Raw genomic sequence first — 24,673 nt, 5'->3', positions numbered from 1 at the left:
TCGCCTGGCCTTGAGCAGTGCACAAGGAAGGACGAGCACCGCAGGGGCTGCCGGGGGCTAGGGAGGGTTGAGGACCTAGGTTGGGGAGGGGCGGTGTCCAGTGAGGTCATCTGTGGTCGGTGTTGGTGGCCTCAACCCGCGCAGGCTCAGTCCCCCACCCACCCCCAGTCCCCGTCCTCCCCATGTCCTTGAGACCTCCCCTCCAGCGGCCTGGGTCACCCGGCCCATCCACAAGACCACCTCCCAGACGGGAGTCCCTGGGCACTGGGAAGTTCTGGGCTCTCTCTGGTTTGGGGAGAATTGTGGGCCTCCTCCACCTCCAGCTGCAGGACCCCCAAGCGGCGCCCCGGGGCCCACCCACAGCTGCGGGAGAGACACGGTTTTAATGCGCGACAGGCTGGTCTGGGCGCGGCCTCAGTACTCCCAAAGCGCGGTCCCGGCCGGGGCGTCGGCATCGGCCCGCAGCAGGCCCGAGGCGCCGCCGCGCAGGTACTTGCCGCTCCGGGCGCGGATGGCCAGGCGGCCGCGCTCACGGAACTCGAAGACGAAGTCCTCGGCGCGTTCGCCGTCGCTGCACACGCTGCCGTGGCTGCCCGTGTACCAGAACCCTCCGTCGCGGCCTGGGGGACGGGACGGCGTCGGCGGGGGTGCCCACCTGCCCGCTGCCACCCCCGCTCCCGCGTGCCCACCCGCCCCGCCACGCACCTCGGATCCGGTAGGCGCCGTCGCTGAAGCTCAGGTGGAAGACGTCGTAGACGGAGCGGTTGGTGTCCAGCTGGTTGGAGCCGCGGTGGTGGCAGACGAAGCCGTCCAGGCCGCGCAGCACCAGGATGGGCCGGTTGATGAGCTTGAGGGTGAACTCTTCGTCCTTGCCTGGCGGGGAGAGCGTCTGCTGCGCTGCCCCTCCCGCCACCTTCCCTGTCCAGGCCGGGCGGGGTGGGGGCCCTGGGAAACGCCACACCTGGACTTAGGGACCCAGGCCTGCCATTGCCTCATGTGCGGCCTTGGCAAGGCGCCTAGGGGGTTCCCAGCAGCGGAGATAAGGACATTCAGACCTGTTTCCCTTGCCAAGACGAGTTATCTTGACTAGCAAGTATGACTCCATGACAGCACCCGTTCCGTGGGCTGGGGAGGGTCCAGCTCTTGGTGGAGATGGGGTGTCTGGGCAGGTCCTTTCCCTGGGTGGAGACAGCCCCTGCCCCAGTACCTGGCAGGCAGAGTGCTCACCGACAAAATCGCTGATAGCCGCCAGCTGCCCATTCTTCTTCATGCACACGTAGCGCCCGTTGCTGGCTTTGAGTGCTACCCGCCGGCCACGCCACTCCATCTCAAACATGGTGTTGGCAGAACTGGAGGGAGCAGCAAAAGGTCTCCTCAGGACAGCAGGAGATGGGGGTGCAGGGTCTCACTTCCCCATCCTCCTCAGGTTCCAAGGAGTGGGACAGAAGCCTGCCCTCCACTGACACACCCACCACCATCAGGCGCTACCCTGCCCCAGTGGGCTTTCCTTTCTGACTGAGCTGCTACGGCAATCCTCATGGCCGAGGCAGTGATGGTGGTGGGAGTGATGGTGCAGGTGATGGGAACGGTGGTGGGGATGGTGAAGATGGAGATGGGGATGGGGATGGAGAGGGGGATGGTGATGGAGATGGGGATGGGGATGGAGAGGGGGATGGTGATGGAGATGGGGATGGTGGAGATGGGGATGAGGATGGTGAGGGGGATGGGGATGAGGATGGTGAGGGGGATGGGGATGGGGATGTAAATGGAGATGGGGATGGTGATGGTGGGGATGGCAGAGATGGGGATGGAGATGGGGATGGTGGGGATGGAGATGGGGATGGTGGAGATGGTAATGGGGATGGTGGAGATGGGGATGGTGATGATGGTGATGGGCATGGTAGAGATAGAGATGGGGATGGTGATGGGGATGGTGGTGATGGAGATGGGGATGGTGATGATGGTGATGGAGATGGTGGAGATGGGGATGGTGGTGATGGGGATGGGGCTGGTGGTGGTGGGGGTGGTGGGGATGGAGATGGGGATGCGGATGGTGGGGATGGTGATGATGGGGATGGTGGTGATAGGGATGGTGATGATGGGGATGGGGATGGCGATGATGGTGATGGAGATGGTGGAGATGGGGATGGTGGTCATGGGGATGGGGCTGGTGGGGGTGGGGGTGGTGGGGATGGAGATGGGGATGCGGATGGTGGGGATGGTGATGATGGGGATGGTGATGGTGGGGATGGGGATGATGGAGGAGGAAGGGATGTGTGCACTCACACTTGTGTGGCTGTGGCGTGAATGCCCCCATGGGTGACCAGGGTCCAGTAGCCCCCAGTGCTGGAATAGAAGGTGCACTTCTTTGTCTCCTGGTCAATTTGCATCAGGAAGGTCTCGTGGTCTAGTTCATCATCCTGATTGGCTGAGACGTTGACCCCTGGAGGGAGGAGATGGGGAAGCCCCTCACGCCTCTCCTGGGTAGGGAGCAGGGGAGGGGGCATATTTTGGGGGGCACCCCTGAAGCCAGAGGTGGGTCTCATCTAGAACCCTCTTGACTTGAGAAGATTTGGAAGGCACCTCTCAGAGACCCTGGGAACCCTGCCCCAGGGCCATATGTGCCGTCTGTGGACCCTGCACACTGTCCCCAAGGGAGCCCTGACCTCCCTCCACACCCCCAGGAGCCAGGCCCTTCTGCTTGGCACAGCCCCCACTCTCTGCTAATCAGTAATCAGCTGGTAATCTCCTTGCCCTGCTCTCTTGACCCAGGGCTTACCCCAGCCTCTATTTATAACTCACCCTAAGCTGCTGGATGGGCACAGGCAGGACCTAATGAAGGGGATGGTGCGGATGGTGATGGGGCACCCCTGGGCTCCAGCCAGGGGCTGGTCCCTGTCACCTCTGCAGCTTTCCCCAACCATCTGTGCTTGGTCTCCCAGGACCCCTGGGGGAGGACAAGACTGCCCCGGGCTCCATCTGGGGTTCCTGCGAGGGGATGGAGGGGCACCCATGCCCAGCATGGGGACAGCAGGCACCAGAGCCTACCCAGGATCTTCTGTGAACTAAGTCCCTGGCTCCTCCCACAAACCACCTCCCTGTTTGCATGGCAGCCAGACACTGGGAGTGGTGTGTCAGATTGCGGAGCTTCCCACAAGGCCCAGGGACTCTGGTGGCCTGTCCAGCTGGGGACTGGGAGGGAGTGGTGGGCAGAGCCCCCACAGGGCCTGAGGGTGGGGCCAGATCCCATCCCACGCTGTGCCCAGGGGAGAGGATGCCAGGCTGTGACCATGCCAGACAGCTTGGGACCTTTTGCCTTCTGCCAGCCCCAAAGCTGCCCCTCACGCCCCAGGCTGGGATCTCCCTCACACTCATCACTGATCAGACGCAGAGGAGCACCCGGCATGTCCCCTGCACTGTGACCGAGTATTCGTGCCAGCATCCCCACTGCCACCAGCTCTAGATCCTGGCAAATACTGAACTAAAAGCAGCTGCCTGGGCCCAGTGGAGGGCAACACTGACACGGTACCCGGGGGCAGCAGGAGCCCGCAGGAGGGGCCCATGAGAGGTGTGGGAACGCCGTCCCTGCGGGCACTGAAGGAAGCCACAGCATCGCAGGGCTCCCCCCGCCACTGCACCTCCCAGGCCAGCACTTTGGTGTCCCCAGAGTTGCCCCACACCCCCTTCAGACAGGATGCTGTCTGGGGCTACTCATTCAGCCACCTGCTTCCGGGGACATGGCCTCAAAATAGGAGAGGAGTGGAGTCCGCCTTGGTCTGGGCAACACTGGTTTTACCCCCCTCCAGAGGGGCTAGCTGAGCAGTTGGGGGACTCAGTTCTGGCAAATGAGTGTGAAGAAGTGTCTGCTAGGACTTAGGGGAGAAGTTTTCTTACTCCTATGAAGACACAAGCAGAGCCAGTGCCTCTTTTTCCTCTGGACTTTGTCCTGCCTGGATGTGAGGCCTGGAATACCAGCAGCCACATTACTACCGTGAGGGCGTCAGGCTGAGGTCAGAGCTGACCCAGGAGAGTGGTTCGGTGAGGAGGTAAGAACGGAGGACTCCGGGGAAGCTGCTGAGCGGGTGATAGTGGCTGCCTGGGAACCCACCATGCCCAGGGCTCTCTGGACTCCCGTTTCAGGAGATGATCAGTGTCACTGCTTGAGCCAGCCTGTGGCCAGTTTTCTGTTACTGGCAGCATCAGACACTGCCTGCCATGCTGTCTGTTGGCAGAAATGAGCAGGCTCTGGCCGATGGGGGGGGATACATGCAAGCCTGGGTGCTCACTCCCCTCCCAGGGGGGAAGAGAGGGTTAGGGGCCGCCCAGCCAGGGAGATGCCTCGATGAAGGGCCTGCCATGTAGCCACTCCACAGAGGCCGGGTAGGGGTGATGCTATGGCACCACCCACGCTGCAGCTGCCTTGGAAGCCGTGAGGTTCCATGCCCCAGGACTGAGATGCCATGTCCCGCTCCCTACAGCCCTGGCCGCCAATCCAGAGCCTGAAACACCTGGTGGTTGGGTCCTCACCCTCAGCCCTGTTGAAGGCAGGGAGGCGAGTGGCTGCTGCTTCCTGCTTCTAAAGTGGGAGATGGGAGCTGGTCTTGAGTAGGGGATTCTCCCCTCAAAGGGATGATAGGGTCAGATGCAGGGTGGTTGAGGATCAAGAGACTGAAAAATGGTCCATACAGTCCCCATCCCTCCACCACTCTGTCAGCACCCCTCCATCACCACCATCACCATCATCACTGTCATCATCACCATCACCATCACTATCACCACCACCATCACTATCACTATCGCCATCACCATCACTATCATCACCATTGCCTCCATCATCACCATCACCACCATCATCACCATCACCATCATCACCATTATCATCACCATCACCATCATCACCATCACCATCACTATCATCACCACCATCACCATCACCACCATCACCATCACCACCATCACTATCATCATCATCACCATCGTCACCATTATCATCACCATCATCACCATCACTATCATCACCACCACCACCATCACCACCACCATCACCATCATCATCACCATTATCATCACCATCACCATCATCACCATCACTATCATCACCATCATCGCCATCACTATCATCACCATCACCATCACCACCATCACTATCATCATCATCACCATCACTATCATCACCATCATCGCCATCACTATCATCATCATCACCACCATCACCATCACCACCATCACTATCATCATCATCATCACCATCACCATCATCACCATTATCATCATCACCATCACTATCATCACCACCACCACCATCACCACCACCATCACCACCACCATCACCATCATCATCACCATCACCATCATCACCATCACTATCATCACCATCATCGCCATCACTATCATCACCATCATCACCATCACCATCACCACCATCACTATCATCACCATCACCATCATCACCATCATCATCACCATCACTATCATCACCACCACTACCATCACCACCACCATCACCATCATCATCACCATTATCATCACTATCACCATCACCATCATCATCACCATTATCATCACTATCACCATCACCATCATCACCATCACTATCACCATCATCGCCATCACCATCATCACCATCATCGCCATCACCACCATCACCATCACCACCATCACCACCACCACCATCACCACCACCATCATCACCATTATCATCATCACCATCATCACCATCACTATCATCACCATCATCGCCATCACTATCATCACCATCATCACCATCACCATCACCACCATCACTATCATCATCACCATCACCATCATCACCATCATCATCACCATCATCATCACCATCACTATCATCACCACCACCACCATCACCACCACCATCACCATCATCACCATTATCATCACTATCACCATCACCATCATCACCATCACTATCATCACCATCATCGCCATCACCATCATCACCACCATCGCCATCACCACCATCACCATCACCACCATCACCATCACCATCATCACCATCACCACCACCACCATCATCACCATCACCACCACCATCACCACCATCTCCATCATCACTATCACCACCACCATCACCATCACCATCATCACCATCACCACCATCACCACCACCATCATCACCATCACCATCATCACCACCACCATCACCACCACCACCATCATCACCACCACCACCATCACCATCACCACCATCACCATCACCACCGCCATCACCACCATCATCACCATCACCATCATCACCACCATCACCATTATCACCATCACCACCATCACCACCATCACCACCATCACCACCATCATCACCATCACCACCATCATCACCATCACCATCATTGTCGCTGCTGCCACCACACTGTCACCACCGTCCTCACCTCCACTTCCACGCCACCATGCACATCACACCACAATGCCACGGCCACGGCCATGACTGCCACTTTGAGTCTGCTTTCCAAGCTGTCCATATACAAATGCCTAAAGGTCTAGTGTCTTTGGCTTCCATGGAGGAAGCATTCTCACTGCCACTGTCCCACTTACCCCCTTTAACCACCTAAGGATTGCCACATGCCCGGCCTGGGCCCAGGCCAGCAGGCATTACAGCTGGACTGTGGGCTGTGATAGGAAGGAAGGGCCATGGCCGTGCATCCACAGTTGAATTCTCACTCCTGGGACCCTGTCACTGCTGGGACAGGCCCGAGGATGCCAACTGCAGGTGCAGGACCCCATAGCCATGGCTGGGCTCCCCTCTCCATGCACAGGGTGGGGCCTCTGCCATCTGGCCCCAGAGTGTCAGTGTACCCAGGGGGCCTGGACATCCGTCAGGGTGGGGGCTTGGTGGGCACCTGGGAGCTGCCAGGAGACAGGGGAGCTCTCCTTGCCCAGCTGATGCTGGTCTGGAAGGACCTGAGTTGGGAGGAGGAGCTCCATGCACCCGGCTCTCCCCACCTCGCCTTTTCAGACCACCTCCGAGCCACTCTGGGGTGCATGGAGCCAGGAGCCCAGGTGGGTAGTGACTGCCCGGGCCAGGGCTTTTCCCTCAGAGCTCAGCTTGTGGGGAAGGAGGAACTGCTGGGGTTCACCCCATAGGCGGTGGAGGGAGTCACACAGACAGGCAACTGGTGACCTGGGAACTGGGGAGAGCCAGGCCACGCCCCACTGGGGCAGGGAGGTGCCTCCCCACCAGGAGCCCAGGCCCCGGGTAAAGCTGCCTGCCCACCGTGTCCTCCATCACTGGAGCTGACCTTAAGCCCCCCCACTCCTGAGGACACGAGGCTCCACTGGTCAGGCACGTGGTGGTGCTATCCCCGCCCGATCCCCAGCTCCCTGCCCTACCCTGGGCTCCTCCCCAATTTCCTTTAAAGTCCAGAAAATGCAGCCGGGCACGGTGGCTCACGCCTGTAATCCCAGCACTTTGGGAGGCCGAGGTGGACAGATCACAAGGTCAGGAGATCAAGACCATCCTGGCTAACACAGTGAAACCCCGTCTCTTCTAAAAAATACAAAAAATTAGCCGGGCGTGGTGGCGGGCGCCTGTAGTCCCAGCTACTCGGGAGGCTGAGGCAGGAGAATGGCGTGAACCCGTGAGGCGGCGCTTGCAGTGAGCCGAGATCACGCCACTGCGCTCCAGCCTGGGTGACAGAGCGAGACTCTGTCTCAAAAAATAAATAAATAAATGAAGTCCAGAAAATGGGGTGGAGAAAAAGAAGGGGAGATATGGACCCCCCACAGCCTCCTGCCCACATGCCCCTCATGGCACCAGGCCAGGCTGTGGGCCTCCTGCCCCTGCTGGGCACTGCCCATCGCCTGGCCCACACCTCTCCAGTCTCAGACTCCGCAGCTGCCCAGGGCTTGGCTGAGACATTCTCCAGCTATGCTGAGAAAGGCCAGGAACCCTTGCCTCTGACCCTGAAGCCACCACCCCTCAGTGGGGGTCGCCTGGGCATGGCCCGAGGCCCACCCACCTACACCCTGAGTGGCCACACATGTCCCACATGGACCCCCAGCCCAGAACAGACATGTGAACGCACAGACACGATACCACTCCCCGTGAGACCCCCACGGCCTCCTCCCTGAAGCAGGGGGGTCCCAGCACCCCTCAGGAGGTCGCCACCTGTGCCCTCCCTACCTTGCCGCACAGAGACGTAGCGGTGGTTGGCAGCCACCAGCACCACCTGTGGGTGACTCTCCTCCAGATCAAAGAGCTCATCCTTGCCAGGTCGCGTGTTTCGGCCGGCCTTGAGGGTGCCTGCGGGCCCCACGGGTGCCAGGTAGTGGCCGTCGCAGTCCTTGAAGGCCAGCTTGCCCGCCTTGAACTCCAGCGTGTAGCAGGCACGGGGCTCAGGCTCCCAGACCAGACGGCCGTCGCTGCGCAGGTAGCGGCTGTCACAGGACTTGAGGCAGTACCGTCGGCTCCGGAAGATGAGGGTGAGGAGGGCGTCCACGCCCCAGGGCTTGTCTCCGTCTGCGGCCATCTCGTCCTCCCGCGGGCACAGGTGCACGTAGCGCCGCCGGCTCACGCTCAGCAGGTGGGCCTGCGGGTGGATGGCCAGGTGCACGGTCCACAGCTCGGCCGGGGAAACGGCTGTGGCGAAGCAGGACAGCTGGTCCTCGGTGCCTCCGAAGAAGCGGCCGTGCGGCTCGGACCGCAGCACCCAGCGCCCATCTGGCTGCGGCAGGACCAGGAAGCGGCAGTCACGGCCCGGCTGCTCTGCCTCACAGGCCACGCGCCCGTCCTCTTCTGCCGACAGGTAGCGGCCCAGGTGGCTGCTGCGGAGCAGCACAGCCGTGCCTTGTCCTGGGTCGGGTTCCAGCACCCAGGTCTGCTTCCTCTTGAGGCTGGGTGCCGAGGCATTGACCTTGAAGCCGAAGCTCTCAGCTGTCAGGTAGCGGTCAGTGTCGTTGACGAGGCCAAACTGGATCTTCAGCACCTGGTGCAGGCCGTTCGTCGGCATCTTCAGGCTGGCCGGGTCCCCGGAGGGGCCTGGGATGCGCCCTCTGAGTGCTCACGGCCCCCGCGGTCCCCCAGAAGCCCGGGTCGGCTCGGCTGGCCCACAGCCCCCAGACCCAGCCGGCGTCACGAACCCCCTGCCTGCTCTGACCCGCCTCTGACCCGCGGCAGCAGCCTGGGCAGCTCTTAGAGGGCCCGCGGGCAGCAGAGGGCGGGCGGGGAGGGCGGATCAGAGACGTGCGGCTTAGGAGCAGCACCTTTCATTACCCTCAGCTTGGATTTCAGCCACTCCCGGATTGCACAGAGCCCAGAGCCCGAGGGCCTGAGGGCCTACGGGGCTGGAGGGCAGGGTTGATCCCCTTTTCCTCATAGCGTGGGCCCAGCGCCCCTCTTCACGGCCCTGCACCTTTTGGCCTCTCTCGTTCCTGCCCCCCTCCTCCAACCCCGTGTGGGCTCCCGGCCCGGCCCGGCCCAGCCCTTCCGGATGTAGAAGCCGTCCAGTGGAACGCTCACGGCTCGGCCGCAACCTGATCGCCGCCCGTACCCTCGGTGGCCGCCAGGCCCTCAGCTGGATCCAGTTACTGCTTCTCTGATTCCTGCTGCCAGAAGCATAGCAAGGACCCCAGCCACAACCTGCAGCCCAGGTCGCCTCCACCCCAGACCGGCCTCTGGCCACACTGCTCAGGCCCCAGAATGACGCACTGGACTGCCACCCACGCTGGAGGGTGGAACACAGTGGCCGTGCAGCCCTGCAGGCAGGGGGCAGAGTCAGAGGCCCTGGGCCAGGCTGGCCCGGCCCCAGCGCACTCCTGTGCGCTCTGAGCAAGTTGCTGGGCCCTGAGGCTGCCCCCTCCTCTGCTGTGAGCTGGAGTGAAGCCAGCCTCACTTCACTTTGGAGTCTTTACGGATGTGGATCCAGGAGGCTGGTGGGACGATGTCCACCCCATGCTCCCAGCGGTGGCCCTTGGAATCTGGGAGAGGATGAAGGCCAGCAGGCCGGGAGAGACTGGAAGTGGTCACACCTGTCTACAGCACCTCCTTGCTCTGGGCCACCTGGCTGTACCCCTTCCCCAGAGCCTGAGGGGCACTGGGCCCTGCTCACCGTGCCTGGCTCCTGCACCTGCCTCAGGGGCTTGGGGCCAAGTAGTGAAACCAGAGCTGGCCACCCTGGGCCAGGGCCAGCCCGGTGTCCTCTTCCTCATAACAGCGTGTGACCCTCCCGTCTCCCTGGGGACTGGGAACAGGGGCCACAGGCCCCTTCCGGTCATGGCCTGGAGTCACTCCCCTGTCCTCCTGGGCCCATCTCCTGAGTGGCCATCATGGGGGTCCCCGTAGGGCAGGAGTCTAGCCAAAAGCAAGGGGCCTGGGCTGGGCACCTGTGGGCTCCAGAGGTGGGCAGGGCCATGGTGGCAGAGTGTGCACAGACTCAGGGGCTCTTCCTCTGTCCTCTAAGCCCTGGACAGCAACCGTGCCAGGCACCTGCAGACACAGGGGAGGAAAAAGAGGAGACCTGTCCCCACTGTCCCCACGCTCAGGGGCCAGGGTGGGGGCAGAGAGACTCCCACATGCAAATACCCCCCAGGGCACAGCGTACGCCACGACGCCAGGGCCTGCTCTCGCCTCTCCCTGTGTGCTGGCCTCATCCGCCTCTATGATTCACACGCATTTATGAGGCACCAACTGTGTGCGAAACCAGGTCACGTGCCAGGCACCATCCTGGGGAGACGCAGTCTGGGGTTTCACCCCCTTCCCAGAGACGATGCCCACACACACTCTCCCACAGTTTCCAGGGGACTGAGGACACAGGCCTAGCACCGATGCCAGGGAACTGTCTCTGGTTTAGGGATACAAGCTAGGGTGCTGCCTGCACCTCACTTTCCCATTGGCTCTTCTTTTTAAAAAACTTTTTTCTTGAAATAGGGTCTCGCTCCTCACCCAAACTGGAGTCCAGTGGCGCAATCTTGGCTCACTGGAACCTTCGAGCTCAAGCAGTCCTCCTGCCTCAGCCTCCCAAGTAGCTGGGATTACAGGCACTTGCTACCGTGCCCGGCTAATGTTTGTATTTTTAGTAGAGATGGGGTTTCACCATGTTGCCCAGGCTGGTCTCGAACTCCTGACCTCAAGTGATCTGCCCGCCGCGGCCTCTGAAAGTGCTGGGATGATAGGCGTGGCCACTGCGCCCGGCCTCCCGTTGGATTTTGAGGGTACAGCTCGGTTGGTCCGTGAGCGGTGGGGGAAGCCGGAGGGGCAGCTGTGCCCATGGTCCCCCCCACCCCAGGCACAGACACTGGCTTCACCTCCACACCCCAACGCCCAGCCAGGCTGAGGAGGAGCCCAGGCGGCCTGCCCCTCTGATTGGCACGACGGCCTCATTAGCGCTGTCTGGGCTGGCAGGGCGCTTAGGCATCGGGTGCTCAGCAGGGGGAAGCCTGGCCGCCCGGCACTAAGTGGGCCTGGCTCTGGGCAGCCTCTTGGTGGCAGAGCCAGAAATGATGGCGGCTCCTCAGTTCTAGGGCCCCACAGCTCCACGTTGGGTGGGGCTGCCTGGCACTGACCCAGCTGTGTGAGCTAAACAGGGGAGGGTGACTGAAGGGTGGGCGCCTGGGCCAGGCTTCCTTGGAGGGAGGCCGTTTACAGGGATTCCAGCCCCTCCTGCCTCCACCTCAGGACCCCAGGCTGTTGCCCAGCCACCTGCTAGGATCGCTTCCTCTGGATTCTCAGCAAAATTTCTGGCACACAGCAGGTACTTAATAAGTGCCTGAGATTGTTGGATGTCGGGAGTCTGGTTATTATTAATTATTTTATTTTTTTCAGACAGAGTCTCACACTGTCACCCAGGCTGGAGTGCAATGGCACAATCTTGGCTCACTGCAACCTCTGCCTCCCAGGTTCATGTGATTCTCCTGCCTCGGCCTCCCGAGTTGCTGGGATTACAGGCGCCTGCCACCATACCCAGCTAATTTTTTTTGTATTTTTTAGTAGACACGGGGCTTCATTATGTTGGTCAGACTGGTCTCGAACTCCTGACCTTGTGATCTGGCCTCCTCAGCCTCTCAAAGTGCTGGGATTACAGCCGTGAACCACCAGGCACAGCCTTTTTTTTTTTTTTTGAGACAGAGTCTTGCTCTGTCGCCCAGGCTGGGGTGCAGTGGCGTGATCTCAGCTCACTGCAACCTCCACCTCCCAGGTTCAGGCGATTCTCCTGCCTCAGCCTCCCAAGTAGCTGGGACTACAGGCGCCCACCACCACGCCCCGCTAGTTTTTGTATTTTTAGTAGAGATGAGGTTTCACCATGTTGGCCAGCATGGTCTCAAACACCTGACCTCAGGTGATCCACCTGCCTCGGCCTCCCAAAGTGCTGGGATTACAGGCGTGAGCCACCGTGCCTGGCCGTCTGGTTCTTTTTATTTATCTTAGAGACAGGGTTTTGCTCTGTCACCCAGGCTGAACTGCAGTGGCGCTATCTTGGCCAGTGGCAGCCCCGAACTCCTGGGCTCCGGCGATCCTCCCACCTTGGCCTCCTGAGCAGCTGGGACCCCAGCACAGGGCCGGGTTCTTGTATGATGGGCTGAGCCTCTGCCCATGGGTGCAGCGTTGTGCATGTGTGTGAGTGTGGTGTGTGTGTGTGTGTGTGTGTGTGTGAAGGTGCTCATGGATGAGGGTGGGCAAAGGTTGCCAGAAGAGTCGCCTGCTGGGCCAACTCTGGACCCTGGGACTGTCATCCTGGATCCCAGCCTGAGAGCCTACTCAGGGCTGCCCAGCAGGGAGCCCAGGTTGTACACTGCCCAAGGGAGGCTATTTCCAGGGTCCCACTCATACTCCAGACATACACAACTCACAAGAGCATATGGTGGGCTGGGGCACTCTAGCCCCCTGCAGTGTTCTCAGGCAACAGGAAGCACCCCTCCCACTGACCCTCACCAAGCCCTGTGGCCACACCTCCGGAGGTGCCAACCAACCACTCACATGGGATACACACGTGCCTGCCACCCTGACCTGTGCAGGCTGCACTGTGGCGACATTCAAAGGCGCTGCCACACTGAGGGCTCCACGCCCCACCCTCGCCCACCTCTGAGGCTGGTGGAAGCCCCTGCCCAGTGTGTGCCTGAGGCCCAAGCTGAGGTCTGCACCTGGGAGGGGGTGCCTTGTCCCGGTGGGCAGTGAGAGGCTGTTTGGGGTAGCAGTACCCCCAGCCCCCTGGTCCAGGGAGCAGCCAGCTGTGACAGACTTCCTGGCCTCACCTGAGCCCAGAGGGCAAGGAATGCCTCAGCCATCAGAATCCCCTGGCAGCCTCCCGAGGCCTGAGCCTCGGCCTCCATCCCTCTCAGTGCGGGGCCAGCTGGGCAGGACCAGGAAGCCATGCGCCCCCACCGGCACCTGGTGTCCACCCTCAGGTTTCCCGAGAGCCCTTAGGAAATCGTTCCCTTTCTGAGGTGCTGGTGGACGGGCTGTCCTGGTGCTCCAGGGTCCCCCTTCCCCTCCCCGAGTTGGCCCGTCTGGTGCTCCAAGGGGAAGGACCCCAAGCCCCCCATGCCTAGACCACTGATCCTGGATGCTTGAGCCCAGCCTGGGCTCCTGCTGGCACGCTGTCTGCTGCCATGGTGACCGGCACGTGCTCCAGGCTGGATGCCCTGCAACGCTGATGCTGGTGGTGTGAGCTGGCACAGGCCTGCGTGTGTGCAGCTGGGGGAGAGGTGGCTCCTCGCCCTGCTGGACTGGAGCCCTGAAAACTGGGAAATGGAGCCCTGGGGCCACCCCGCGGCTGAGGACCACGCCTTTCACAGGCCAGCAGTGCCTGCAGCCCTCCCTGCAGGCATCGGAGGAGCCCCCACCTCAGTGCCAGGCCCTGACCGCTGCCACTCCTGTTGGCATCCCTGTCTCCAGTGATTCCCAGGTACTCCACCCTCCCCCTTGTCCCCGTGCCAAGCCCCTGCCTAGGCTCTGTTGTCCCCTTGGCCCTGCAGCCAGGTGAGGGCCACCCTGCTGGGCACACCGGGCCTTGATGTCCTCACTCCTGGCCCAGCACCTACTCCCAGGGGCCCAGCCCCGGGTGTTATTCCTGAGCACAGACCTGCAGCCTGGCGACCTCATGATTTTTTCATGGCTGAGCTATCGGCTCCGCTGCAGTTCCACTTACACGGGCGAGGGGGCCGCACTTCTCTTTCTCTGGCCTGGGTTGGTTTACTGAGGCCAGGTTTAGGGTGACAGGCTCCATCGGCAAGGCAGGGGGCAGGGCAGGGTTGGAATGAAGAGCTTGGGGAGGGGCTCTCCAGCGTGGCTGCCTGCCTGCTCCGAGAATCCCCCTCCCCTCCCTGCCCCTCCCCGAAAGCAGCTTCCCGAACTGCAGTTGGGGTTCACGGCTGGCTGCTCCGGAGCCTCGCCTTGGAACTCTCAGGGCAGACAGCCCACACAGTCTGCTGGCTTTTGTCTTCTGTGAAATCATAAGGTGCTGGTGGGGGGCTGTGCCTGGAAGGGGAGGGGAGGAAGAGGGCTCTAGGCCTTGCCAGAAAACTCTGGACCCCAGCAAGGACAAAAGTCCCCAAAGGGACCCCGAGGGCAGAAGCGAAGGTGTCTGGACAAGCCCAGATGCCTCACAACCACTGGGGCGATGGAGCCTCCAACCCCTGAGCCCCAGGACCTTTGCACATGCAGGGGACAGGAGGAGAGTGTTCATGAAAATCCCATGAGCCCCTGGCTGCTTGGGGCTTAGAGTGACGAACAGATCAACTTTCAGAGAAGAGATGGCTGTCTACAGCCCAGCTGGACTTACACACAGGGGCACACCACAGACATGGACACCTGGCGTGAACGAGCCCACAGGTCTGCAGGTGGCGGCCTCTGCCCAGCCCCTGCGAACCTGCATCTACACACACACACAGGTGTACATACGCCCTGCCCACGTGTAATGCCACGTCCACCCGCAAGTTCAGTCACGTAAGAACCAACCATCACAGGCACTTAGGGAGTGCCAGGTGTGCCAGGAACCGTGCTGGGGAAAGGAAAGGAATTAACTCTACCTCTGACTTCTGGGACAAAACAGAAACGGACCATTTATCACTCTACGGTGAGAAGGGCTCTGCACATGGTCACCATCGTGGTGTCACCCAGCTCCCTTGGGGACAACGCCACGCCACTCAGCTCCATGCATTCAAGTTGGTCTGCTTTCTAAAAAAGTCTCATTGCCTATAGTTAATGAAATGGTGCAGAGAACAAGAGAGGCCTTGGGAATTAAAAGTATGATAGTTTGGCCGGGCTGTAATTCAAGCACTTTTGGAGGCCGAGGCAGGCGGATCACGAGGTCAGGAGTTCGAGACCAGCCTGCCCAACATGGTGAAACTGCATTTCTACTAAAAATACAACAAATAGCTGGGTGTGGTGGTCCACGCCTGTAATCCCAGCTACTCAGGAGACTGAGGCAGGAGAATTGCTTGAACCCAGGAGACGGAGGTTGCAGTGAGCCGAGATCGTGCCACTCTACTCCAGCCTGGGCAACAGAGTGCAGAGTGAGACTCCGTTTCAAAAAAAAAAGTTTATGACAACAAAACGTTATAACGTGATTTTGGATTAGATGAGGAAAACACACTACGGAGGACATTTCTGGGACAAGTGTCATTACCGAAGTTGTATGATCCACGCCATCATTGCCTGTCAATTGGATAAACAGTGTGATACTGATGTTGCCTGATTTTGATCACTGTTCTGTGGTTATAGAAGAAAACATCCTTGTTCTTAGGAAACACACCCTAAAATAGTAAGGGCATCATGCCTGAAACCTGCTTCCAAAGGGCTCAGAAATAGAAGGAGAATGATAAGCAAATGTGTCAAGATGTTTAAAACGAGGTAAGTTTGAAATTTCAAAACAAAGGCTGGGTGTGGTGGCTCACATTTGTAATCCCAGCATTTTGGGAGGCCAAGTCGGGTGGACTGCTGGAACCCAGGAGTTCAAGACCAGCTTGGGTAACATGGCAAAACCCTATTTCTACTACAAATACAAACATTAGCCAGGCATGGTGGCATACACCTGTAGTCCTGGCTGCTGGGGGATGGAGAGGGCTGAGGTGGGAAGTTTGCTTGAGCCTGGGAGGTCGAGGTTACAGTGAACTGAGATGGCACCAATGCACTCTAACCTGGATGACAGAATAAGACCTTGTCTCAAAAAAAAAAAAAAAAAAGCTGGGCTTGGCTTATGCCTGTAATCCCAGGACTCTGGGAGGCCAAGGCGGGTGGATCACCTGAGGTCGGGAGTTTGAGACCAGCCTGACCAACATGGAGAAACCCTGTCTCTACTAAAGATACAAAAATTAGCCAGGCGTGGTGGCACATGCCTGTAATCCCAGCTACTAGGGAGGCTGAGGCAGGAGAATCGCTTGAACCTGGGAGGGAGAGGTTGCGGTGGGCCAAGATCGCACCATTGCACTCCAGCCTGGGCAACAAGAGTGAAACTCTGTCTCAAAAAAAGAAAAAAAAATTTCAAAACCAAAAGGTTAAAAACTATAATAAATAAAATGAAAAACTCCGCTGAAGGGTTAGAAGTCAAGGAAATATCCCAGAAGGTTTAAAAAAGTAGACAGAAGAAAAAAACTAGAATATTAGAGAATAAATCCAGAAGGTATAATGCCCAATTAACAGAAATCCCAAAACAGAAGAACAGAAAACAAAAGAAAGAAATTGTAAAAGAAATAATACAAGCAAATTAGCAAGAACAGGGCCTAGGAAGTAGCCAAGATAATGAATGCAAAAGCATCACCAGGGACATGAAGCAGTTTTAGATCAGCAAGGAAAAGCCTGAAGGCTCTTAGAGAAACACAACACCTGGACTCTGGATCAGGAATCCAGTGACATTCATTTCTCATCAGCAGCAGTGCCAGCAAGAGACAGGGACTAAGCGTTCAAAATCCCAGGCCAGTTCTCAACTTGAAATTCCATCTCTCACCAAACTGCCAGTTCCAGGGGTGTGAGCTCAAGGCACTTGCCGATACGCAAACTCAACACTGACTCGGGGGCTCACCTTCCCAGCTTGGTGACGCCCCCAAAGGATGCCTTGTCCTAAGGACTGGAGGAAATGGGGCTTGTCAAGGTGCTGGGCACAGTTAACCTTCAAGAGAGCCCAAGGTGTGTGTGGGTGGGGGCCAGGCATAGGGGGCTCCCCAGGGTGATTCCCTCCCACAGACCAAGTGGACACATGGGTTGGGCCAACCATGATCCTTCCCTGGGCATGGTGTGACCCCAGCTCGGGCCTCTCCACCTTCAGGGTCACCTCCTGAGTGTGTTCTCCCCCCACCCCTCCCCTAGGCCTTCCTGTGTCCCCACGGCCCCAGGAGGAAGTGTGACCGCCCTGGTGTGGCACTGGACATCCCCTGTCCGGCAGTGCCCCCTCTGACTTTCCCGGAGCCAGCCCAGCCGCAAACAACCTGGCCCCTTGGGACACAGGTCTGGGGCGGCCCCTGCCACGGCCTGGCCCAGCCCTGGGAAGGCCGGAGAAGCCTCTGTCCCCAGCAGGTGTATGTAGTGAGATCTCTGAGTCCCACCCCTCCAGCCCTGGAGCCACCTTTTCCTGCTGGGTTGCCTCGATCCAGCCTCTCAGCCCCTTCCTTTCCTTTTCTGGGAGCTGGTGCTTAGCAGGGGCCATCTGCTAGGGGAGCAGAGTGCGGGAAAAACGCCCCGCACCCAGGGCCAGGGTCCTCGTGTTGGGGTCCTCTGTGGGTGCCTCCTGTCCTCGGTCGCAGGAGGGACCCCGGACATCTAGCGTGGGCAGTGAGTGGAGGCCCGGGCCACCCCCTCATCCACTGCCACGGGTGACCCCATCCCACTTTTCCGCGTCAGCCCTGACTGAGGTCACCGGCCCCTCCCCAGGCAGCCCTGCCTCTGTCACCGTCCGGTGTGCGGCCGTGACTCAGCGACCGGCCCCGCCCAGTGGCGGAGGGAGGAGCGGGGGTCCCTCCTGGCGCTCCTGGGCAGGCGCGGGCTCCGGCAGCGCGACAGGTGCGGCCTCGCGGCGATAGCGGCACCCACCTGGCGGCCCAGGTGGGAACGACAGCGGCCCGCCATTCCCGGCCTTCTCGCGGGACCCACTCCACGGGCGCCATCTCCCGGCCCCAGGCCTCCGAGCTCGTGGTCCTGGGGGTGCGTCCCCGCTGCCAGACAGTGCTCGGCGGGGGAAGTGCGTGCTGAGTGCGGGTCCTGGGCCCACCCGAAGCCCCGGTGCCGCGTCCCGGGGGGAGTGCGCGGAGCTGAGGCCCAGGCCCGCGCCCTGCGTGCACCTGGCGGTCAGGAGAGGTCGACTGCGTGGGGAGGGGGCGCAGGAGCGCGGGCCGGCGGGCTGGGAGCTGCAAGGAGCGCGCGACCACGTGCAGCCGGGCTGGACCGCCGCGACCCCGCACCAAGTTAGGGCGTGCAGCCCTGGGCCCTGCCTGAGAAACATCCCGGGGCTCACCTTGCCCGAATGCAGACCAGCTCAAGTCCCAGCTTCCCGGCCTGGGACGGGCGGGGCGGCGAGGCACAGCCGGTCTCCCAGCCACGCCCGCCCTGCTGTGCCCGCCCCCGCGGCGCGCTGGGGAAGGATGGCGTGGCTAAGACTCGGGTACCCTGACAGAGTCCGGGCTTGACCCCCGGCACCCTCCATTCTCCGCAGACAAGAGGCAGCCCTTAGGACACAGCGCCCAGAGCAGTAACCTCTTGCCCTTGTCCCGCCCTGACCCGCTTCCCCTTTTCCGCGTGGCGCCAGCCGTCCCTCGAGTGGAGACACCTGGAGAGGCCCTGACCTAGTCGCTCTGCAGAGCTGCTTGGGCGAGCTGCTGGCCAGAGCAGGAGGGGCGGGACGGGTTAAACAGGCTTTCCCTACCTCGGTGCCCCGCGCACACTGGACAAGACATCTGCTCCCCGGCCTGCTGCCGCGGGGAGAGCTGGAGGAGCTGACCAGCTAGCGGGCAGGAGAGGGTCCGTGCGGAGAGTCAGCGAAAACGACTCCCCTCCCTCCCAGCCCTAGAGTTATAGCCCCTTCCACGTTTTTGAGATAGGAGGCAGCTGCGAATCGGCCTAGCCTTCCTCTGCGCTCCCTCCTCCAGGGCTGGGAACTCCTCCCTCTCTATTCCACCCCTACTTGGGCTTCCTGCACGAGCAGCTGCTGGGCAGGTGCTATGCCAGGTACAGGGGCTATGCCAGGTACAGGGGCTATGCCAGGTACAGGGGCACCAGCTTCACTGTGGAGGACAAGGATGCTGTGCCCCAAGAACCAATGCTCTAGGGCAGAGAGTGGGTGAAAGAAGCTAATAATCAATAGGAGTTGATGGGAGGTCGTGGGTGGCATGGGGGCATGCCAGGAGGAGGCAGCCAGTGGGACAGCTTTGGGGGCAAAGGAACAGCCAGACGGTGGTCAGGGCGCTGAAGGAGTGGAGGGACAGGCAGCGCCCACTCTGTGGGCCTCCAGCACCAGGGGAAGGGGCTTAGATTCTACCCCGAGGCAGCAGGTAGCCTTGGGAGCAGCGGGGATTTGAAACATGGGGATTCATTGCGGAAGCCGAGGCCCTGGGGTGGGAAGGGTTGCAGGACGCGCACTGCCAGGGAGCAGGCATGGCCACATGAGGCAGGCTGTGGCCTGGGACGGTGGTTTCTGGCTTTAGCCCTGTGAAGAGGGTGGGGGCTCCTCGGTTTCATCTCCGTTTCTGGCTCCTCCCCTGCAATCTGTGACCGCAGCTAAGAACCACCCTGAGGGGAAACACAAACTTCAGGCCTCGCTGCCTCTGGGGAGGAAGGAGTGGGACTGGAGGGGGGGGGGGCGGCCGGAGCTCCTGGGGTGGGGTCCACAATGGCCAGGTGGAGAGCAGACCCTCCCCACTCCGTGCGGCTCTGGGAGGCCACAGGGGAATGAGGCCTGGGGAAAGGAGCCTTCTTCTCGGGCCCAGTGGAGGGTCACAAACGGGCCTGGGGCTATGCCCTTGGGAACAGAGGGAGGAGCAGGCACCCTGGTCTCAGGTCTCACACACGACACACAGAGGCACTGAGCACGTCTTACTCATCACCGAAAACTGAGCCCCTGGGTGTCAGGCAAGACGCCTGGGGGGTTTGCTGGGCCACCTGACGGCCTCCTGTCCCCAGACTTCCTGTCCACACGGGAGGGCAAGCAGCCTCAGAGCCCCTGATGGGCCACACATCTCACATCGCAGAGCCCTCTCCTCTTTTTTGACAGGAACTGGGGTACAGAGAGGTCACGTGGCAGGCACAGGGCTGAGCCGGGCCCAGAACCCAGGTGTCCGACTCCCAGCTCAGGGCTCTTCCAGGGGCCTCCTTGGTTCCTGCTCACAGCGGGGATGGGGAGCCTCAGGTAAACTGCAACAGGGATCCTGTCTCCAGAAGGCCTGGAGCAGCGGGGGTGGGGCGGGGCAGGGGAGTGGGGTTGAGGGACTCTCGGCCTGAGTGTCTGTGTGCATTCAAGCCCCTAACCCTCGTGTAGAGTGCCCACACCGCCCTCCAGAACCTTCTGACCTCCCAGAATGTGACCTTGTTTCTGGCTAATTACCCTGACCCAGGAGACTGCCTCAGTTTCCCTCCCTGTGAAAACTCCACAGTCTGGGACTCTCCTCCAGTGGTGAGAATTGGACAAAACATGCAGAGACCTGGTCTGGGGACCAGGTGAGAATTGGACAAAACATGCAGAGACCTGGTCTGGGGACCAGGTGAGAATTGGACAACACATGCAGAGACCTGGTCCTGGGACCAAACAAGCAGCACCTGGCCACTCACAGCCAGCTGCCCAGTGACTCCGCAGGGGTGGGGTGGGGGGCAGCCAGCTGAGCCTTCTGAGCTTCAGTCTGCGCAGTGGGGCAGGAGAACCAAGCCCCAAGCTGGGCACCAGCCAGGAGACAGAAGTGTGGGACCCTGGCCTTGTCCCTTGAGCCAAAACTCAGAGGCAGCCAGGCCGAGTTGCAGGAAACCAGCCTTGCCCACCGGGACCAGCCTTGGGACCACTGTTCCTGAAGAGGCAGAGCCCACTCCAGACCTGCCCAAGGGAGCCAGCCAGGCCCTGGAAAGAGCTTCAGGAAACAGGGCCATCACCTTGCATTTCATCTGTCCAAAAGGGTGTGGGAGAAGAGGGAGGTGGGCTGAGAGTAGGGAAGCTTTGCTTGCCTTGGATTCAAGTTAGCTTTTTATTATGGGAGAACTTTAAACTTACAGAAAAGTTGCAAAGACAGTGGGAAGGTTTCCCAATGCTCTATTCCCAGTGTCCCCTAACCTGGCATCTTACACGGTCATGGGACAACTGCCATAACTGAGAGATTAACCTTGATACTTACGGCCAAACTCAAGGCTGTGGGCTTTGCTAGTTCTTCCACCACTGTTCCTTTTTCTGTTCAGGGTCCATCGTTTCATTTAGTGGTGGAAGATGAGACACTCCAGGCTGGGTGAGGTGGCTCACGCCTGTAATCCCAGCACTTTGGAAGGCCTAGGCGAGTGGATCACTTAAGGTCAGGAGTTCAGGCCAGCCTGGCCAACATGGTGAAACCCTGTCTCCACCAAAAATGCAAAAATTAGCCAGGCATGGTGGTGCACGCCTGTAGTCTCAGCTACTCGGGAGGCTAAGGCCCGAGAATCGCTTGAACCCCGGAGACAGAGGTTGCAGCGAGCCAAGATCGCGCCACTGCGCTCCAGCCTGGGCGACAATGAGACTGTCTCAAAAATACAATAAAATAAAATATAAAGAAAAAGTAGACATTCCAGGCAGGTAGAGTGACAGAGGCAAAGGCTAGGGGTGGGGACCCATGCCCACGCCCCCATGTCTGTCTGACAAGTAGCCGGCCAGGTGGTTGGCGGTGGGGACTGGGGGGCCCTGTCAACTGGTGTGGAGGTGACCCAGAGTCCGGGGGCTGATCCGGTGCAGAGGGAGGAACAGGGCAAGGAGCTGGAGGTGGGGCAGTGCAGGCCGTGGAGGGCGCAGGCCCTGGGTTAAGCCTCAGCTCTGCCATACCTCCCTGGGCCACTGTTGTCGTATCCACTAAATGGGCCGAAACTAAAATAAGACATAACAAGGTCATGATAAAAAGCCATCAAAACCAGCACTGAACTAGAAAAGAAAAATCACATCGCTTCTCCAGGCCCCAAGTCTCCCTTCCTGAAATGTGAAGGACACACCCACCTCTGGCGGAAGTGCAGCTGCCGACTCTCCCGGCTCCGGAGGCCGCCCAGCTACCCCCAGCTCCATCCATGCGGTCCCCTCCCCAGGCCCAGCTGCCCGGCCCTCTCCGGCACTGGTTCCAGAAGGGTGGCGGCTGCCCTGCGCCACTGGCTTCCCAGAGCATATCCAGGACAGGCCCCGCGCGACCTTGGGCGAGGCCCCGCTGCTAAACAGAAAAATCACAGCGCGCGGTCCAGCCCCCTGCGCCCCGCGGGCTCCAGGCCTCGCCCTGCCCGCCCGCCCGCATCCCAGGGACAGGCAGACCCGCATCCCCGCCGCCGTCGGTCCCGGGACTCCCCAGGCTCCGAGGCCCCCCACGCCCGGCTCCCGCCCCGACCCCTCGGAGGCGCCGGGCCACTCCTACGCCCCGAGGCTGCCCGGCCGCCGCCCCTCTGTCCCGCGCGCCAATCGGCGGCCTCCTTGACTAAATAAGGCCAGGAGCGCCGGGCGGGCGCCCCCCGTCCGTTACTTCCGCCCCCCGCCCGCCGTGACTCAGGCCCGGCGGCGGGCGGGGATGGCGCTGCCCCGGGCCGGGCTTCCCGGCGGAGGCGGGCGGGGCTCCGGCGGCGCCGAAGTCGCCAAATATGGCCGCGCCACCGCCCCCCGCCGCGTACCTGGGCCACACCTTGACCCCTGCCGCGTGACGCGGCCGCGGAGGAGGAAGTCGCTCTCCACCCCCGGCCCGCGGCGGCGTCCCCTCCCCGCCCCTCCCCGCGGCTCAGGCCCTGCGGGTGGCGGGGAACCCGGGGGTCTCGAGGCGCCAGCCTCGCCCCCGCCCCCACGACCCTGGCGGCCTCGGGTCCGCAACGTGGGGAAGAAAGGTGGGGGACGGGGACGCGCGCCCGGGGCCGGCACCTCCCCGCACTTCCTAGACAAAGAAGCTTCGGAGGAGACCAGAGACCCGGAGGGGCAGGGTCCCCGGCCGGCCCGGAGCAGAACGTAGTGTGGGGTGAACGCAGGATGGAGGGGCTTGTGGCTATTCCCCACCCGCCTCGTGTCCCTCGGTGTGTGACGTCGCATCTTGGGACCCCCCAAGTGGAAGTCCTCACCCGGGGGTCGAGCAGGCTGTGTGGTTCTGCCCAGGGACGCGAGTCCGGGTGGGTCTGTTGGAGGCCCAGCCCCGGCTTCGCCACGGGAGGGAACATACCTGACAGCCTTGCCCGGGCCCCCGGAGATTCTGGGCCTGGGGGCGCTCAGCACCCCTGGGAGGCCTGGGGCACGGGGGCCTTAGGCACGGGTCTCGGCGTCCGGGCTGACTGCAGCCCGCAGGTGAGCTGGGCCGGCCGCCTTGCCCTGACTCGCTGTTGTCACTCCCAAACACGGGGTCGCGAGCTAACGTTGCAGGGCCCCGGACTCCGCGTGGGGACCCCGGCCCCGCCCCCCAGCCTGTCGAGTCAATCTGAACGCTCTGCGACCTCGGGCGAGTCCGTCCCCTCACTGCGCGGCCTCACTGCCACCCCTACGCGGCCGGCGCTCCAACCCTGAAAATTCCAGCAGCGCACAAGGAAACCGTAGTGCCGGGCGCCTCTCGGGGTGTAACCAAAGCACCGGCGCCGCTCCTGGCGAGGAGTGAGCGCCCTGGACAAGCCTGTGGCTAAACCCACGCCAGCCCTGATCGCTGCTCTTAACTAGCATCGTAAACAGAAGAGGGTATCCCCCCGACCGCCCGAAGCTGGGGAGCCGACCTTCAAAAAAGTCAGGGCTCCCATTGTCTACCTCAGTTTCCCTATAATGTCTACAGGTGACCAGAATGAAACAAAGGCCTCACTCCACACCACCTTCTCAGCACATAAGGGGGCGGGGTAGCCCCAACCCGGAGCGCGCGCCTGGGGACAATCAGGCCTGTGATTTGAGGGGCAGGGATGTGTCGGGTCGGGTAGAAAGGGGCCTCGGTCTTCAAACGAACGGAGATCCGGGGCAGGGCGCCCCGTGGAGGGACCTGCATGGTGGTGGCTGCGCTTGGGGACGGGCGGGCTGTTTCCTATGGTGACCGGGGCGAGGTGAGGGCTCCTGAGAGCTCCCCCGCGCCCAGGGACGCAGAGCGTCGCGGACCCCCGCCGCGCCCCTTCCTCAGCCCGGCACTGGCGCCCGAGATCCTCGTGGAGCCCGAGGGGAAAGATTGCAAGGGACGTCCCAGGGAGCAAAGCCCCGCAGCGTGGCCGGGGACTCGGGGACCCACCCCAGCTCCGGCGCGGCCCCGCCCCGGGTCAGGCAGTTTCGGGGCGCAGCAGGGCCCTCCCCACGGCGCGGCAGTCCCGGGGAGGGGCCAGGCCCGTCAGCCCTTCGGCCCTCCCGGCGACCCTCGGAGGGCGCCCCAACTCAGACCCGCCCGCCGGCCCGCGCAGGGTCGCGAGCGCGCGGGGGTGGCGCGGGCGGGGCCGTTGGGAGGCGGTGCGGGCTGGGGGCGGGGCGGGCCGGGGCCCCACGTGTCCCTGCCCGGCGGGCCAATGGGTGCCCGGCTTTCGGAAAGATCGCCATATATGGACATGTTCTGGGGCCGCGCGCGCCGCCGGGCCGCGCGGGCGCGCCGCTTCCGCTTAAATAAC

General features: G+C 61.2%; 1 protein-coding gene across 6 annotated transcripts, besides 19 other annotated features; it reads right to left on the bottom strand.

Moving 5' to 3' along the window:
- Positions 365-22,433, bottom strand: FSCN2 (fascin actin-bundling protein 2, retinal). 6 transcript variants are annotated; one of them, XM_011524590.3, is made up of 7 exons: positions 22,089-22,433; positions 21,250-21,459; positions 8,138-10,438; positions 2,287-2,443; positions 1,228-1,349; positions 706-945; positions 365-620 (listed from the first exon to the last, which is right to left on the bottom strand). In XM_011524590.3, the coding sequence occupies exons 3-7, from the start codon at positions 8,961-8,963 to the stop codon at positions 415-417; spliced, it is 1,551 nt and encodes a 516-aa protein (XP_011522892.1). In that variant the 5' UTR covers positions 8,964-10,438; positions 21,250-21,459; positions 22,089-22,433; the 3' UTR covers positions 365-414. The 6 variants fall into 6 exon arrangements, with proteins under 6 accessions (XP_011522892.1, XP_047291676.1, XP_011522889.1 ...); XM_047435720.1 differs by having other exon boundaries at positions 21,250-21,398; XM_011524587.3 differs by lacking the exons at positions 21,250-21,459; positions 22,089-22,433 and adding an exon at positions 18,393-18,435.
- Positions 8,144-8,669: an enhancer, noted in NCBI's record as "H3K4me1 hESC enhancer chr17:79495852-79496377 (GRCh37/hg19 assembly coordinates)". NCBI's record gives its function as "activates a minimal SCP1, AML or CMV promoter by ChIP-STARR-seq in naive H9 embryonic stem cells {active_cell/tissue: H9 hESC(naive)}" and the evidence as "EXISTENCE:reporter gene assay evidence [ECO:0000049][PMID:30033119]".
- Positions 8,670-9,196: an enhancer, noted in NCBI's record as "H3K4me1 hESC enhancer chr17:79495325-79495851 (GRCh37/hg19 assembly coordinates)". NCBI's record gives its function as "activates a minimal SCP1, AML or CMV promoter by ChIP-STARR-seq in naive H9 embryonic stem cells {active_cell/tissue: H9 hESC(naive)}" and the evidence as "EXISTENCE:reporter gene assay evidence [ECO:0000049][PMID:30033119]".
- Positions 17,461-17,570: an enhancer, noted in NCBI's record as "active region_12970". NCBI's record gives its function as "activates an Ori minimal core promoter by ATAC-STARR-seq in GM12878 lymphoblastoid cells {active_cell/tissue: GM12878}" and the evidence as "EXISTENCE:reporter gene assay evidence [ECO:0000049][PMID:35858748]".
- Positions 17,581-17,630: an enhancer, noted in NCBI's record as "active region_12969". NCBI's record gives its function as "activates an Ori minimal core promoter by ATAC-STARR-seq in GM12878 lymphoblastoid cells {active_cell/tissue: GM12878}" and the evidence as "EXISTENCE:reporter gene assay evidence [ECO:0000049][PMID:35858748]".
- Positions 17,761-17,920: a silencer, noted in NCBI's record as "silent region_9134". NCBI's record gives its function as "represses an Ori minimal core promoter by ATAC-STARR-seq in GM12878 lymphoblastoid cells {active_cell/tissue: GM12878}" and the evidence as "EXISTENCE:reporter gene assay evidence [ECO:0000049][PMID:35858748]".
- Positions 18,061-18,610: a silencer, noted in NCBI's record as "silent region_9133". NCBI's record gives its function as "represses an Ori minimal core promoter by ATAC-STARR-seq in GM12878 lymphoblastoid cells {active_cell/tissue: GM12878}" and the evidence as "EXISTENCE:reporter gene assay evidence [ECO:0000049][PMID:35858748]".
- Positions 19,325-19,948: an enhancer, noted in NCBI's record as "H3K4me1 hESC enhancer chr17:79484573-79485196 (GRCh37/hg19 assembly coordinates)". NCBI's record gives its function as "activates a minimal SCP1, AML or CMV promoter by ChIP-STARR-seq in naive H9 embryonic stem cells {active_cell/tissue: H9 hESC(naive)}" and the evidence as "EXISTENCE:reporter gene assay evidence [ECO:0000049][PMID:30033119]".
- Positions 19,949-20,574: an enhancer, noted in NCBI's record as "H3K27ac-H3K4me1 hESC enhancer chr17:79483947-79484572 (GRCh37/hg19 assembly coordinates)". NCBI's record gives its function as "activates a minimal SCP1, AML or CMV promoter by ChIP-STARR-seq in naive H9 embryonic stem cells {active_cell/tissue: H9 hESC(naive)}" and the evidence as "EXISTENCE:reporter gene assay evidence [ECO:0000049][PMID:30033119]".
- Positions 20,081-20,320: an enhancer, noted in NCBI's record as "active region_12968". NCBI's record gives its function as "activates an Ori minimal core promoter by ATAC-STARR-seq in GM12878 lymphoblastoid cells {active_cell/tissue: GM12878}" and the evidence as "EXISTENCE:reporter gene assay evidence [ECO:0000049][PMID:35858748]".
- Positions 21,041-21,090: an enhancer, noted in NCBI's record as "active region_12967". NCBI's record gives its function as "activates an Ori minimal core promoter by ATAC-STARR-seq in GM12878 lymphoblastoid cells {active_cell/tissue: GM12878}" and the evidence as "EXISTENCE:reporter gene assay evidence [ECO:0000049][PMID:35858748]".
- Positions 21,199-21,824: an enhancer, noted in NCBI's record as "H3K27ac-H3K4me1 hESC enhancer chr17:79482697-79483322 (GRCh37/hg19 assembly coordinates)". NCBI's record gives its function as "activates a minimal SCP1, AML or CMV promoter by ChIP-STARR-seq in primed H9 embryonic stem cells {active_cell/tissue: H9 hESC(primed)}" and the evidence as "EXISTENCE:reporter gene assay evidence [ECO:0000049][PMID:30033119]".
- Positions 21,825-22,448: an enhancer, noted in NCBI's record as "H3K27ac-H3K4me1 hESC enhancer chr17:79482073-79482696 (GRCh37/hg19 assembly coordinates)". NCBI's record gives its function as "activates a minimal SCP1, AML or CMV promoter by ChIP-STARR-seq in naive and primed H9 embryonic stem cells {active_cell/tissue: H9 hESC(naive and primed)}" and the evidence as "EXISTENCE:reporter gene assay evidence [ECO:0000049][PMID:30033119]".
- Positions 21,825-23,050: a biological region, named in NCBI's record as "H3K27ac-H3K4me1 hESC enhancer GRCh37_chr17:79482073-79482696".
- Positions 22,211-22,260: a silencer, noted in NCBI's record as "silent region_9132". NCBI's record gives its function as "represses an Ori minimal core promoter by ATAC-STARR-seq in GM12878 lymphoblastoid cells {active_cell/tissue: GM12878}" and the evidence as "EXISTENCE:reporter gene assay evidence [ECO:0000049][PMID:35858748]".
- Positions 22,331-23,050: a silencer, noted in NCBI's record as "silent region_9131". NCBI's record gives its function as "represses an Ori minimal core promoter by ATAC-STARR-seq in GM12878 lymphoblastoid cells {active_cell/tissue: GM12878}" and the evidence as "EXISTENCE:reporter gene assay evidence [ECO:0000049][PMID:35858748]".
- Positions 23,271-23,460: a silencer, noted in NCBI's record as "silent region_9130". NCBI's record gives its function as "represses an Ori minimal core promoter by ATAC-STARR-seq in GM12878 lymphoblastoid cells {active_cell/tissue: GM12878}" and the evidence as "EXISTENCE:reporter gene assay evidence [ECO:0000049][PMID:35858748]".
- Positions 23,591-23,640: an enhancer, noted in NCBI's record as "active region_12966". NCBI's record gives its function as "activates an Ori minimal core promoter by ATAC-STARR-seq in GM12878 lymphoblastoid cells {active_cell/tissue: GM12878}" and the evidence as "EXISTENCE:reporter gene assay evidence [ECO:0000049][PMID:35858748]".
- Positions 23,671-23,950: an enhancer, noted in NCBI's record as "active region_12965". NCBI's record gives its function as "activates an Ori minimal core promoter by ATAC-STARR-seq in GM12878 lymphoblastoid cells {active_cell/tissue: GM12878}" and the evidence as "EXISTENCE:reporter gene assay evidence [ECO:0000049][PMID:35858748]".
- Positions 24,091-24,570: a silencer, noted in NCBI's record as "silent region_9129". NCBI's record gives its function as "represses an Ori minimal core promoter by ATAC-STARR-seq in GM12878 lymphoblastoid cells {active_cell/tissue: GM12878}" and the evidence as "EXISTENCE:reporter gene assay evidence [ECO:0000049][PMID:35858748]".

Source organism: Homo sapiens, chromosome 17, assembly GCF_000001405.40.
Source record: "Homo sapiens chromosome 17, GRCh38.p14 Primary Assembly".
Lineage (NCBI taxonomy): Eukaryota > Metazoa > Chordata > Mammalia > Primates > Hominidae > Homo > Homo sapiens.
This window is presented reverse-complemented; position numbering and strand designations above follow the sequence as displayed.